Source organism: Homo sapiens, chromosome 1 (assembly GCF_000001405.40).
Source record: "Homo sapiens chromosome 1, GRCh38.p14 Primary Assembly".
In the NCBI taxonomy this organism is placed as follows: domain Eukaryota; kingdom Metazoa; phylum Chordata; class Mammalia; order Primates; family Hominidae; genus Homo; species Homo sapiens.
In genome coordinates, this window is record NC_000001.11 from 16,651,877 (window position 1) to 16,666,758 (window position 14,882).

Here is a 14,882-nt window from a genome sequence, read left to right on the forward strand (position 1 = left end):
ATTGCCAGACACCCAGTGGAAGGTCAATGAATGACTATTTGAGGACTAACTATTACAGAAATGTTTACTCTTCTGAGTCCTGATTTCTAGTCTCCTGGACTAAATAGGTTCACTGTTTTCCTCCCGGTTCAGTTTCCAGACACATCACAGAATTATAAGAATATTAAAAACTCAGGCTTATACCTACGCAGGATTTTCTATAACCCTCTTTCTGCTTTGAGCTCCTAAAGGTATTTCATAGAAAAATGACCTTATTTTTAAATAGAGGGGGCAGTTGAAAATCAGTGAACGGACCTACCCCCTAATGATTTTTTTCTCAGACATAATTATAATAATTAGCATTATAAAGTGCTAATTATCTTTGGACACAGAGGACCTGCACACCAGAGACAGAGGTCCGCATTAAGTAAAGTGAATTTCACTTTCTTCAGTTGTGAGATTTCTCTTTTTTCTTCTTTGTAATGATGCAAAGATATATCATCCACCAAGCCTCATTTAAAAGCTTTTTCCAGTTAAGGAAACTATCTCTTGGCCATCCACAGCCAGACTCCATATTGAGATTATGGATATTCAAAGAAATTGTCTTTCCCTTGTATATTGTCATAACTTTTTGTGAAATGTTCGTTTTATAGTTCCAGGCCAGCACCTAGAACCTTGCTAGAATAAAAAACTGCAGAAATCATGAGTTTCTAGTTTGGATGAAAGAGCACACCTATTAACAAATGATAGACGGCTATCCTACTGTGAGTCCTGAAAACTGGTGGTGTGATTGTTGAATGGGTTAGGGGTATAGCAGAGAAACTCAGTGTGGGCTACATACAATTTCAGCTTGAATCACACTTAACAGATCCTCTGTTCCAACCATTTAAATTTACAAAGAAGAAACTAAGGCACAGAACTACTTGAGAAGAGAAGCAGAATTGAAAACTAGAGCTCCTGATTGTTCTCAAAATAATTTTTATCATACTGCATCGGGTTCTAAGTGAGAGGGCTTCTTATTTAGTAATGCCAAGGTCATGTGTTAACATGTAAAAAAATTAGACGAGGAATGGGGCATTGGTGTAAGATTATACAGAGTGTAAAGTTGGGCTTTCTCTTATCATCTGTTGTCAACAACAGGATGATTGTTACTGTTACCCACTCCTTACCATCATTCACACAGAGACATTGGATATTGAGGAGAGACTTTAAAACAGAATATTAGTAATGCAGAGCTATAAAGAGCCACGATCATATTAATACAATCCTCCATACACATAGTGACCTGTCTGCAGCTCCAGCCTAGAGAAACCCAGTTATTCATTTGTAGTGGGCAGCCCCATTATCAGAAAGCGCTATTCAATTGGAAGTGCTCATCTGTGTTAGGTCAAAAACGACTTCCTCTAAATATCCATTCTGTGTATTGAAGTATAAATGAGTCCCACTTAAGAAAAAACAAAACAAACCAACTTCCAATGATTTAAAAATACTAACGTGACCCTCTTACGTTTACCTAAAGCTAGTGTTTCTCAAACATCAGCTGTATCAGAATCCCTGAAGGACTTGTTAAAACAAATTGCTGGTCTCTACTCTGAGCTTCTGATTCATTAAATGTGGGATGGTACCTGAGAATCTGCATTTCTAACACGTTCCCAGGTGACCCTGATGCTGTTGCTCTGAGAACCACTTTGAGATCCACATCTCTAAGCTCATCAGTCTGTCCGTTACACCTTACAAGACATACTTTCCTAATCTGACACCCTTCTATTTGTCTTTTTTTGGAATGCTTTAGAAATTTAGCAGTTATCTTTTTTATGTATTTTACATTTGTTACAGCTTTCCTTGGTGGACAGATATGAGTTTTCTACTTGAAAATAAACACGTTTTTCTTTAAAATATCATTAAATAAGAGTGTAATTAGTGATATAAAGCAAGATGACTAAAAAGAATCTCTCATTATTATGTTTGCACAGCCTGTATAGAAATTATTTGAACTAGAAAGGATTTGCTAAGTAAATTATTTCTATTTCCCTCACTTAATAGTGAATATTATGGTGATTAGGGGAAAAAATAAGCTTTCTTTTTTCTTTTGAGATGGAGTCTCACTCTGTCACCCAGGCTGGAGTGCAGTGGCGCGATGTCGGCTCACTCTGTCACCCAGGCTGGAGTGCAGTGGCGCCATCTCGGATCACTAAGCCATCTCGGCCTCCCCAGCTCAAGTGATTCTACTGCCTCAGACTCCCAAGTAGCTGGAATTACAGGTGTCCGCCACCATGCCCAGCTAATTTTTGTATTTTTAGTAGAGATCACCATGTTGGCCAGGCTGGTCTCGAACTCCCGACCTCAAGTGATCCGCCTGTCTTGGCCTCCCAATGTGCTGCGATTACAGGCATGAGCCACCACGCCCAGCTAAAAGAAGCTTTTCTGATAGTAACTTTGTTTTCCCATTCTGGAGTTTATGGCAGTATGAAAAAGACTGAATTTATAAGCAGAAGATCTGTTTTTGAAATCCGGGGACCTGTATTTCACAATGGCTTTGATGTGTTTTGATTGTGCACCTTTAGACAACTTATCAGTTTCCTCATTTTTATACAGCAATAAAATAGTAACAGCTACCCATTAAATTCTGTACAGAAGCTAGGGACAGACGCAATAACACTTGCATATCTATAAAGGCTTTGTAAATGTGGGTATTATATCTAATGTTTATGCACATGCTGTTTGATTATTTTCATTTGGAATTCCACTCCATTAAAGGAAAAGTAACATACGAATTCAGATTCTTGTAAGTCTTCAGGCATGAGGCCTCCATTGACTAAGTACATTGCCTACATAATTTCTCCTAACCCAAATGAATCTCCAGTTAAACCAAGCTGGTGGTTATGTACTGTCTCCAGAGGATGCCAAGCATAAAGTCCTTGAGTATATTCATCTTGGATCCTCTGATTGGACAACTGCGGTATTGAGACTTCAAGTTCCCCCTTGAAGGCCCCAGACGGTACCTGTAATTTTACTCAAGTTTTAAATGTATGCTCTTTGTTAAGAAAGAGTGACAATGATTTGATTTATTTTCCGTGACTGGGGTTAGGGATGGGGGAGACTCTAGGAATGTGACTTACCAGTGAGGTTCTAGTTTTATAAATCATAGGACAAGTTTTGATAGGCAAATGTTGGACTATAGGGCTGAGGTTGTTTTCCACCACAACATATAGACTTCTACTAGCCCTTGAAGGAAAAAACACGAGAAAATCAGTTGGGTCAGCTGAGTATTCCTTTACGAGTATGGAACAGACTTACATAACAATTCTGCAGGTAATGGCTCTGGAAAGGTCAACCACTTAGTTTTGGACAACTCTTTTCTATTCTGTATAACCACTTTTTCACCAAAATGATACTAAATAAATATGCTATAGGAAGCTATATTTTGACATGACTGTTTTAGGCAAAGATACACTCACCAACTTACTCCACAAGAGTTTCTAATCAGAGAATATCATATGGATCTATTTGAATTGCTCCCATGCTTGGCTGAGCCCAAAATAATTTACTGTGCATATGTACACCAAGTGAGAAGGTTGAGGAGGTGTCACTTGTACATCTCTTTATTCTTTTTTTTTTGTATGTGTGTGTTATTTTCATGTGTTTTGAAAGGCTCTCTTGCTTAGCTTTTATTTTGCCATTAAAGATTTTTTTCTGTGCTATAACTGTATTTTTAAGTCTGGTTTGAGTTCAAGAAATCCACAAATTCACAAAAGATTAGGAATAATTTGTGAACAAAATGATGCAGAAATAAAAAATGCATTTTCCAAATAACTCCCTTGCAGTCCTTCTCGCCCAACTACCACTTTCTATTAAGTTTCTTCTTCCTACTCTATGAAGTGCCATGAGCTTTCAATTCATTGTATTTTAAGTATAAGCTATACTTACTAACCTTCACGTTATTCTTTGCTACTTAAATAAGCTTGCTTTCATAGTTCAATTGACGTATTGTTTAACTGATATTTTTAATTGGTATATTTTGATATATATTGATAATTGATAGATACATAATTCATTTGAGATATTTTGGGTATGGAGGGTTGGAAGGAATCCTTTCATAATTTTTCTACTTAAAAGAAATCTTTTTTCATTTAACAGCTTTTCCCATGGGGATAGAGTTTTCATGAATAAAGCAAAGTCATTAAATGAGGTATATGGTACATCTTTTAAGAGTCACAGAAAGAAGCAACAACAATTTACCCAGGCAGAGGGTATAAGTTTAGACCTTGGTTGCCTGATTTGTGGGACAAGTTCTTTAATTTTTTTTCTTTATATTTTGACTTTTTTTTGGACTCTCTCCTCCCCTTCCAGGCTCCAGGTCAAATACTTGACACCTGAATGATGTTCAATTATTTAAAAGATGGATTGGCCAGCTCAGCTCCTGTCTCAGACAGACTGTCTTTAAATGTATTTTCAACATGTCTTCAGACAGTTATTTTTCCTCTGTTCAATTTTGTTCATCTTCTTACTTAACCGTTCAAGTGCTCCTATTTCCTTTTTAAATGTAGTATTGAGAAGTGCAAACATTATTGGAAAAGAGAGTCTCACTAGCATAATTGTGCATTATCTTCCTCTTATATCGCCGGCCTCCCTGCACCCCCATGCCCACCTCCTCCTCGCGCCTCCATGCCGCCTCCCACTGCTCCAGCTCCTTGCAGCTGCGAGTCCAGTCACTGGTCACCTTTCGTATCTCCTCACTCAGAGCCTGGTTGGCCAAACCTGCCTGGTCCAGCTGTTCTCAGAGCATGGCATTCACCTGGGCCAGGCTGGCACTCCTGAATGGGGCACAGGGGATCAGTAGGCGCTCGCCCAGGGGGCCATGCTGCCAGCCCTGGCCCTCCCTGCTGCTCCTCCTCCAGCCAGATGAGGGCACTCTCCAGGTCTTGGCTGTGCTCTGCGTCCTGGGTGGCACAGAGGTTAAAGCATCAGGCTGGGCAGGTGGAGGGCAGGGCCTGCCTCTGCCCCACCCTGGCACCCACCCTCAGCTGCTGCTGCTCCAGCTCTCCGGATCTCTCCAACAGCTGCTCCAGCTCCGAGAACCTCTTCTTGTACTGGAGAATCTGGGGATTGGGAGCTGATGGTGAGCCCCAGGGGTGGGGGCAGGGCAAAGTGAACACGTGGGAGGGAAAGAGCAGGAATGGGTGGCCCTGACCTTGCCCTGCAGCCGCTGCACAAGCTGGGCCTGCCGCTGCTGGCCCTCCAGGTAGGCCTGCAGCTTGCGCCACTAGGAGGCCTGCTCCTCCTGCAGCTGCCTCCGCAACTCCACGCTCTGGAGTACCAGCCCCCTGGGCTCTTGCGTCTCCAGCTCACCAGATTGCAGCCACAGAGCCTGCTCCAGCTGCAGGGAAGGGCCCTGGGTGAGAGTCCTGGGCCTCCTGGGAAGGCAGGCTCAGGCCTCTGTAGGGGGTGGCAGGCTGGGCCCAGACCCACAATGCCTTGTAGGCTGATAGCCTGGCGCCCTGGGGAGCAGCACATGTGGGCAAGCCCAGGGGCAGTGCACGTGTGCATGGGGTGATGCAGCCATGCACGGGCACGCAGATGGGGCATGCATGGACACATGCAGGTGAGCCCACAAACCCAAACCATGCAGGCAAAGCTCAAAGGTGCACCTGGGGTCTACGTCAGGGGCCTCAGTACACCATGCGCCTCTCCTCCAGAACACTTAGCCCTGTCGTGGTTTCTGTTTATTACATTGATGCCTGTGTCTTCCCACCATGCCCCCACCCCAGTGTGAGCTCAGAAAGCCTGGATTTTTTGTTCCTCATTGTATCTTAGTGCTATAATGGTGTCTGTGGAATGGCATGGCTCACGCTCAGTAAATATTTCTTGTGATGGTGAATTAATGGCATGAGCTCATGGGAATACATTCAAACAGAGGTGTCAATCCGCCTATGCATATCTGAGCTTAAAAATATGCACACACATAACACATACAGGCAACCTCAAACATCCCCAGGGGGACACGAAGGACTCCCCTCATATACACAGCATTAAGATTTGTAAGAGGTGCACACAGATGTTGCCCTATACGGCGCCTGCATATTAATGCCCACTTCTGGCTGGGTGCAGTGGCTCATGCCTGTAATCCCAGCACTTTGGGAGGTCAAGGCGGGTGGATCACTTGAAGTCAGGGGTTCGAGACCAGCCTGGCCAACGTGATGAAATCCCGTCTCTACTAAAAATCGAAAAATTAGCCGGGTGTGGTGGCATGCACCTGTAATCCCAGTTACTCAGGAGGCTGAGGCAGGAGAATCACTTGAACCTGGGAGGCAGAGGTTGAAGTGAGCCGAGATCGCACCACTGCACTCCACCCTGGGCGACAGAGCAAGACTCCATCTTTTATTTATTTATTTATTTATGTATTCATTTATTTGTCTCATGGGCTGAGCGAGGGGACCCCGGCTGGTGGAGGGACAGCTGCGCCCTGCAGGCCGCTGCGTCCGGGCAGACCCCGGCCTCTTGTCGTGCCCCCGGCCCGCGACAACCCGGGCAGGATGGGCAGCAGGACGCGGCGGGGCATCCGCGGAGCCCGTCGGGAACGCTCTCTTGGCCTCCGGTGCCGGGCAGCGGTGGGTGCGGCACCCACAGTGCCCACAGCGCCCCCAGCCCTGGGACGTGGCTCCAGCCCGCCCCCAGGCAGGCGGCCTCCTTCGCCGGGAGCACGTCGCCTGGGCAACATGGAGAAACTTCAACTCTTAAAAAAACAAGACAGCCACCACAACAACAAAAAGAACAGATATAAGCCGGCTGTGGTGACTCGTGCCTCTGCTACTCCAGAGGCTGAGGTGGGAGGATCGATTCAACCAAGATACAGTGAGACTGTCTCTCAGAGAAAAAGTCAAACAAACAAAAAAAGAGGCTGTGTAAGAGGTGACTCTGGGGACAGTGGAAAAACACTAAGGTTTTCAAGTGGTGTTAAAAGCCACTAGGCCTTGGGGACCATTGAGCAATCTACAAAGCACGGAAGCCTAGATCCCTGAGCTCTGCCTGCCAAGTACCACCACAGCTAACATGGGAGACCTCCCCGACAGAGACTGAAATTTGCCTCCCGAGGAAACAAGTGACTACAGACATCTGTCCCAGGACAGTAAACAAGAAAGCAAGGTCTCACAAAAACAAAAACAGCTGACCACAGCATACAATCACTGAGACCGAGCCTGCGACTATAGGTGAAAAAAAAAAATGCTGTCCATTATTCATACCATGAAAGACCAGGGGAAAGTGGGAACGCAGTCCCCTACTACTGTTGTGGGAATCAGGAGAACAGAGAGACCAATGGGTGGAACAGGAGGATTTATTGACTGCACTGAGGCCCAGCAGATGAAAATCCAAAGGCTGAGCCCCGAACAAAGACAGGGCTTAACTTTATAGACACTTCTGAAAGGGGGTCGGCTAGTTTGAATGGCGCGGCGGGAATTTGATGGCATGAAACTCGGGGGCAGGCAAGAGGGCTTATAGAAGCAGAACAAAGGCAGCTAATCAAACTGTCACAGGTCTTGCAATGCAAGTATAGCTGGTGACCTTGCAGCTGCACTGAAGGGAAATCAAGAACTTAACAAAACTTGAATAATTAGAAATGGGAAGGGGGAAAGAGAAGGTAGTAAAGGCATTTGTTGTTTTTTCCTCTTATCTTTGTTGGGGCTTACTGTGTTGAGAGAGTCTCCGGAACTCACTCCTCGCGGCTCTGACTTTTCAGATCGTGTTACCGAGGATCTACTAGGGCTCTATCTATGGCAGGTCTTGGAGTCAGCCAAGTACAGGGAACCTGTCTTTTCCTTTTAACTTCTGCCTTATTACTACAAGTTGTACAGCACACCATGCCTGGTTTTCATCAGCAATGTTTCCTGAGGTTACAGAAAGATTTCTAATCCTGGGAGGAAACACTCCCTTGAAGCAAAAGTGTTCTCCCCCAAAAAATGCAAGGAGCTATCTTCTAGATAGCCAGGCAGATAATTCTCAGGTTTTGCCCCACAGAATCTCTATCTAAAATACAGCAGTGGTCATGCCTAGTGAAAAGTTTGAGGGAACTCGCCCAGTGTTGGGTTTCTTCAGAGCCATATATATAGATATAACCAAATATCCTAAAAGACACTGCCCTTCATCATTCCATGCTGTTAGACATTTACAGGACCATGGATGGTGATCTCCTCCAGACAAAAATAAATGCTGGTGCAGAATAGGTAAGTGTATTATAATTTGAGGACATCAGCTTTTGGGCATTTTAAACCATGGGTCAGACATGTTAGAGCAAGAGGCCAGGTTGATAGCAAGAGGGAGTGTTTTTCTTTTAATTTGTCAATAGCAAAGTGATGTTTGCCACTGTGATTTCAGAGTGAGGTGGCAATTTGTTGTTGTTTGGTTTTGTGGGTTTTTGTTTGTTTGTTTGTTTGTTTGTTTTTGAGACAAGGTCTCACTGTCACCCAGGCTGGAGTGCAGTGGCATGATCAGGGTTTACTCCTGCCTTGACCTCATGAATTCAAGCAAACCTCCTTACTAATCCTCCCGAGTAGCTGGGATTACAGGCACGTGACCCCACACCCTGGGGTGTGAACTGGGATTTGATGTTTTCAGTTGGCTCTCTAATGGAATAGGTTCCCTTACTCTTGTAGAATCAGATTGTCTTCATGATTATCATTCTTGTGTGCATTATATTTCTACTACCCTGCTATTTTTTTTTCTATTTTTCTTTTTTCTTTTTATTTTTTTCTTTGTGAGACAGAGTCTCGCTCTGTCTCCCAGGCTGTATTGCAGTAGCAGGATCTCAGCTCACTGCAACCTCCACCTCCTGGGTTCAAGCAATTCTTTTGCTTCAGCCTCCTGAGTAGCCACCTGGCTAATTTTTGTATTTTTAGTGGAGACAGGGTTTCACCATGTTGGCAGGCTGGTCTCAATCTCCTGACCTCAAGTGATTCACCCGCCTCAGCCTCCCAAAGTGCTGGGATTACAGGCATGAACTACCACACCTGGCTCTCAAACCATTTTAGTTAAGCAAAGACAGATTTGTCTGGCTTTTTAGTACAATGCTGAATTATCCTCCAATCTATATTTTTAGGAAGGACCTCGGGAATGGCAACTTGGAGATATTTGGTGAAAATGTGAACCTTTCATGTTCTGCTTCAGTCCCTTTTTGAAAATCCTTCCAATTTACCTTTTGCAACCAGTTAGTGGCCTTCCCTTCTTCACCAGCATGTGAGTTAATTGATAAAGATCAGAATATTTGGGCTCAAAGGTTTCAACAGTTAAGTCAAATTTTCTGCCAAAGCCTACAGGATCTTGGAGCCTGCTTTAGAAACAGAAGAGTGAAATGTATTTAAGTTTAGATCAGGGAAGTCCTTTATAATATTCTTAATTCACGTTTTGGTGAAGTGGTATACACAACGGTAGGCTCCCCTCTTCCTGTGGGTTTGGGTTTTACCTTGAAAGGGGCTGTCAGAACAGAAGTTTCAGGGAAGGGACCAGATCCCTGGGGACTTTCCTTAGGTGATGGTGATGGAAGAAGAGGCAAGGCAGGACAGGAAGGCTCAGGTAAGAAAGACTATGCAGGTGCAGGGGCAGGAGGAGAAGGAGCAGTTGGAGGTGAAAGAGACAAAGCCTCCTCAATATTTCTCAAATCAGAAAACATGACAGTCTACCTCCTTCAGCTTACTTCCTCAATGGAGGCAATTTTCTCAGTTCTTTTAGAAATTTTAGAAATTTAGACATTTCTAGGTCTCATTGGAATTAAGTCTCCTATTTAATTTGTCTGGTTCAAAAACCAAATTTCTCTCTCTCTCTCTGTTTTTTTTTTTTTTTTTTTGAGACAGGGTCACCCAGACTGGAGTGCAGTGGTGTGATCTCGGCTTACTGCACTCACCACTTGCTGCATGACAGCCAATAAGTCGAGAGTTGAGGTGTAGGGGCAGGGAAGGTGACTTTATTCCAGAGAGCCACCAAACTGAACAGATGGTGAAGTAACATCCTGAAGAACCATCTTAAATTAATACTATTTTCCGGCTCCTTGTACATTAGGGAAGGGAGGAAGAAGGAGGCGATTGAGGTGAAGAGGTCTGACAATGACAGACATGGGCTGCAGTGAGAGCCCAAGGGGATGGTGAAAATTGTTGGTCCTTTGTCAGGTCACACTTCTCTTATAAATCTTCAGCATAACACTGTTACTTGTGTATACAACCTCTCTATCTTCTCAGGAGTTAGTTTGGGGAAGGGATTATTATCATCTGTGCTTTAAAGTTAAACTGTAAGCTAAATCCCTCCCATAGATAGCTTGGCCTATGTGCAGAAATAAGAAAAAGCAGTTAGCCTGGAAGATGTCACCACACGGTAGGAAGGGTTAGGAGCAAAATGCAGTCAGTCATGCTAGGCCTCCTTTTCATTGCCATATATTTAATGTATTTGAACACGTAAGTTTAATTTTTTATACTTTATTTTTATTTATTTATGATTTTTTTGAGACAGAGTCTCACTCTGTTGCCCCCCCAGGCTGGAGTGCAATGGCGTGATCTTGGCTCACTGCGACCTCTGCCTCCTGAGTTCAAGCAATTCTCCTGCCTCAGCCTTCTGAGTAGCTGGGATTACAGGAGCCCCCCACCATGCCCGGCTAATTTTTGTATTTTTAGTAGAGACAGGGTTTCACCATGTTGGCCAGGCTGGTCTCAAACTCCTGACCTCGGGCTCCCAAAGTGCTTGGACTACAGGCATGAGCCACCATGCCCAGCCTAACCAAGATTATTAAACCATTCTAATTTGTCAAAAGAGTCACACTGATTTTTAAAAAATAATGTAATGGGCCAGGTGCAGTGGCCTATGCCTGTAACCCCAGCGCTTTGGGAAGCCATAGCAGGAGGATCATGAGGTCAGGAGTTCAAGACAGCCTGACCAACATGGTGAAACCCCGTGTCTACTAAAAATACAAAAATTAGCCAAGTGTGGTGGTGTGTGCCTGTAATCCCAGCTACTCAGGAGGCTGAGACAGGAGAATTGCTTGAACCCGGGAAGCAGTGGTTGCAGTGAGCCGAGATTGCACCACTGCACTCTAGCTTAGGCGACAGAGTGAGACTACATCTCAAAATAAATAAATAAATAAATAAATATAATAATAATGTAATGAACTTTTTCATGTCTTTATATAAAAAATATTACATTATTTAAATTGTTCAAAAGCATCAAAGATTCCTCTCTGCTATCAACTTCATTTATTTTATTGTACCAAACTACCAGGACCATTAATTTAATCTACAGCTAAATCTATTATTTTTTCATGTTAGAAATTCAACAAGAAAATTTTTCCCTAATGAAACCTCACATTTCAAGCATAAGGAGCCTGGGCGAGTTGGCTCACACCTGTAATCCCAGCACTTTGGGAGGCCGAGACAGGTGTATCACTTGAGGTCAGGAGTTTGAGACTAGCCTGGCAAACATGATGAAACCCTGTCTCTACTAAACATATAAAAATTAGCTGGGCGTGGTGGCGTGTGCCTATAATCCCAGCTACTCTGGAGGCTGAGGCAGGGAAATAGCTTCAACCTGGGAGGCAGAGCTTGCAGTGAGCTGAGATGGCACCACTGCACTCTAGCCTGGGCTACAGAGCAAGACTCTGTCTCAAAAATAAATAAATAGATAAATAAGCATAAGTAGTAAAAAAATAACATAAATTTAAAAATAAGGCACAGGGTCTTGCTCTGTTATCCAGGCTAGAGTGCAGTGGGGCAATCATAGCTGACCAACTTGGAACTTCTGGGCTCAGGCAATCCTCCTGGCTCAGCTTGCCTTGTATTTTTTTAGAGATGATGTCATGCCCTGTTCCCCAGGCTGGTCTCCAACTGCTGGCCTAAAGCAATCCTTCCGCCTCAGCCTGTTGAGTTGCTGGGAGTACAGGTGCAAGACATGCAGCCTAGCATTGTAGTAAAACAATTTTCAACAAATTCTTAATTTTCTTTCCTTTTTTTTTTTTTTTTGAGTTGGGAGTCTCATTCTGTCACTCAGGCTGGAGGGCAGTGGCACAATCATAGTTCACTGCAGCCTGAGATTACAGTCATGCATTATCATGCCCGGCCAACTTTAAAAAATTAGCTAATACTTAAAAATTTGTAGAGACAGGGGTTTCACTGTGTTGCCCAGGCTGGTCTCCAACTCTTAAAGTGCTGGGACTGTAGCTATGAGCCACCATACCTGGCTTAATTTTCTTATTTTAATTTTATATAAGTGAGTATTATTGTTCCTAAGATAATTGGGGCAGTGACTCCTTTACAATTTTAGAGATCTAATTTGTCTATTCACTTCACTGAAAGAGTATGCCAATTTGTTTCATGAGAAAATATCCTATATTTGAAAAGAAGGAAAATTCCTTCCACCAAACTAGGGTGCATTCTAAAGAAACGAATTGTTCTAAGTAACATCACTTAAAGTGCAAACAGAGGCAATGGTATCTATTAACAATGTTTATCAGTGAAGGAAATAAACTGAAAATATGAACATCATTAGATCCTCGGAGGGCCTTCATTGCTGAAAATCTGAGTAATATTGTGATACTCTTTTGAGTCTGGCAGGACATTCTCTTTCCAGGGCATGTAACAGTGGGTGAATAATTTCTTTTCATTCATTTCCATTAAGGGCTGAACTTCCTTAATGTTCTGGAGATTATTAAATTTGATTTGTATAGTTGTGAAAAGTACTCATATTGCTGATTCCATTGCTTATATGTGATCATATAAATCTTTTCTCTTTCTGTAGTGTGGTTTAAACTTAATCCTTAAAGGGCATGTATTTGAATTTTTCAGCTGGTTAGAAACCTGAATATACCAATCAAATAAAACTGCTCCTTACATGCTACAGATTTAGTTTTCTTCCTGTACTAAGATGTCTTTTAGATACAGTAAATTCGTTAAAGCCAAGAGCCCCTAGGAAATGAAGTTGGGTGGGAGGGGGGACATCGAGTAGTAAGATCACTCTTGTAACAGAGATGCCACTCTTGCAGATATTGACAAAAATTGGGCCTATAAAATGTTTACCAAACATTGGAAAGACAAGATCTGAACAACTTATCATTGCTGCAGTCTCAAATATCAGGAAATGCCATTATTCTCAGGACAATAAATAGACAATAAAGAAGACTCACAGACCAGATTAGCTGTCATGTATCACCAAACAGGGACTGGATCCTTGTTAACACGACCCAACAGAGATTGTCCCCAGAAATTCACTTCATAACCTCAAAACCAAAAACCCACACTGATGGCAAAAAATAATGATGCAAAGAATGAGAGAGAAAGAGAGAGAGAGAGAGAGAGAGAGAGAGAGAGAGAGACCTGTCCTATAGCCATACTCAGTGGGTAAAAGCCAAAGAGCTCAATTTCTGCTCATGATACTTAATAGAACATAGGGAACATGAGCCAATAGCTCAATGGGTTCAGATCTGCACCAAGTGCCTGTTGGACGCAGGATTCTACTGTCTCCAATAATATGTCTCAGATGCACTAATTTTTTTTCTCTTTTTGAGACAGAGTCTTACTCTGTTGCCCAGGCTGCGGTGCAATGGCGCGATCTCGGCTCACAGTAACCTCCACCTCCCGGGTTCAAGCGATTCTCCTGCCTCAGCCTCCCGAGTAGTTGGGATTACAGACACACACCACTGCGCCCGGCAATTATTATTATTATCATTATTATTATTATTGTGCGTGTGTATGTGTTTTTAGTAGAGACGGAGTTTTGCCATGTTGGTCAGGCTGGTCTTGAACTCCTGACCTCAGCTGATCAAAAGTAGGTGAGGTCAGAAAACATACCCTGGGAGAGGCTGGCACAATGCCCAGAACCGCTATCGCTAGGCCTGGGGTTTTCCTCTGTAGTGGAATACTAGTGTTCATGTAGTGCAGGGACAAAACCAATTAGATAGTTCTGGGAGTTAAAAAGAGATGATTTACAGTGCCATTTGAGAAGGGGTATTAAGGAATTTGCCAGGGCACTGATGCGTGTCAGGTGTAAACCTCAGGTTGAGAGAGAGCTAAGTATTTTCTGTCCATGAAGGTGATAAGCGAGGGCCTGAAGAAAGAGGGACTGGGGAGGACACTGGCACCAGAAATAGGAAAGGGCTTCTTGGGGGTGGGAAGGATGGGTCACGGTGCTATCTATAAAGTTGGCTGGCAGTGGATGTAGGATGTGGGAGTGAGACATCAAACATGAAGCAGTCGCTTAAAGTCTAAAGAAACACTAGATATATGAACTGCAGGAGATAGTAGGGAAACTGGACCGGCTCCTCATAAAACTTCCCGCCTTCTATCTCCGGGAGGATCGCAGGGCATTTCCGCCAAGACAGGTGAGACTGCGGTTCTGACCTGCGGGCCTCCATGCATATGCGCTAGGGCACCTGGGGGCCGGCAGAGCCGTTCCCCTACGCAAAGTAAGAGTGTTATGTCTACAACCCAACGGGGACACTGAGAGCCCCAAAGGCCCTGCTTTCTTCCCAGAGAACAGCGCCCATCTGCATAATTTCTACCTGGCTCTATGAGGTGAGAACACACTCCCCGCTAGCACAGAAATCCTACAAACTCCTGTGGGGGCTGCGCTTGGAAGCAGAGGCTGTGTAAGAGGTGACTTGGGGGGTAGGGAAAAACACGAAGATTTTCACACAGGGTGAGAACCCAAGAGACTGGAGACCACGGACCAATCCCTGCAAAAAGCAGCCAGGGTAGAAATGGAAGAGCTGAGCGGACTTCACGATAGCTAATTTGTGTTACAAAGCCGATACGGCTGATGCTCGCTTTTTCTCCTATGGCGTGCAGGCCACATGTTACTTCTTATTCCCCAGGCCTCCACTGTAGGATTAACAACTAAGACACAAACCAATACGAAAAAAGACATGACCCTTGGCGTAC

At 43.8% G+C, this 14,882-nt stretch overlaps 2 annotated features.

Moving 5' to 3' along the window:
* Positions 5,046-5,854: an enhancer, noted in NCBI's record as "H3K27ac-H3K4me1 hESC enhancer chr1:16983417-16984225 (GRCh37/hg19 assembly coordinates)". NCBI's record gives its function as "activates a minimal SCP1, AML or CMV promoter by ChIP-STARR-seq in naive H9 embryonic stem cells {active_cell/tissue: H9 hESC(naive)}" and the evidence as "EXISTENCE:reporter gene assay evidence [ECO:0000049][PMID:30033119]".
* Positions 13,861-14,827: an enhancer, noted in NCBI's record as "NANOG-H3K27ac-H3K4me1 hESC enhancer chr1:16992232-16993198 (GRCh37/hg19 assembly coordinates)". NCBI's record gives its function as "activates a minimal SCP1, AML or CMV promoter by ChIP-STARR-seq in naive H9 embryonic stem cells {active_cell/tissue: H9 hESC(naive)}" and the evidence as "EXISTENCE:reporter gene assay evidence [ECO:0000049][PMID:30033119]".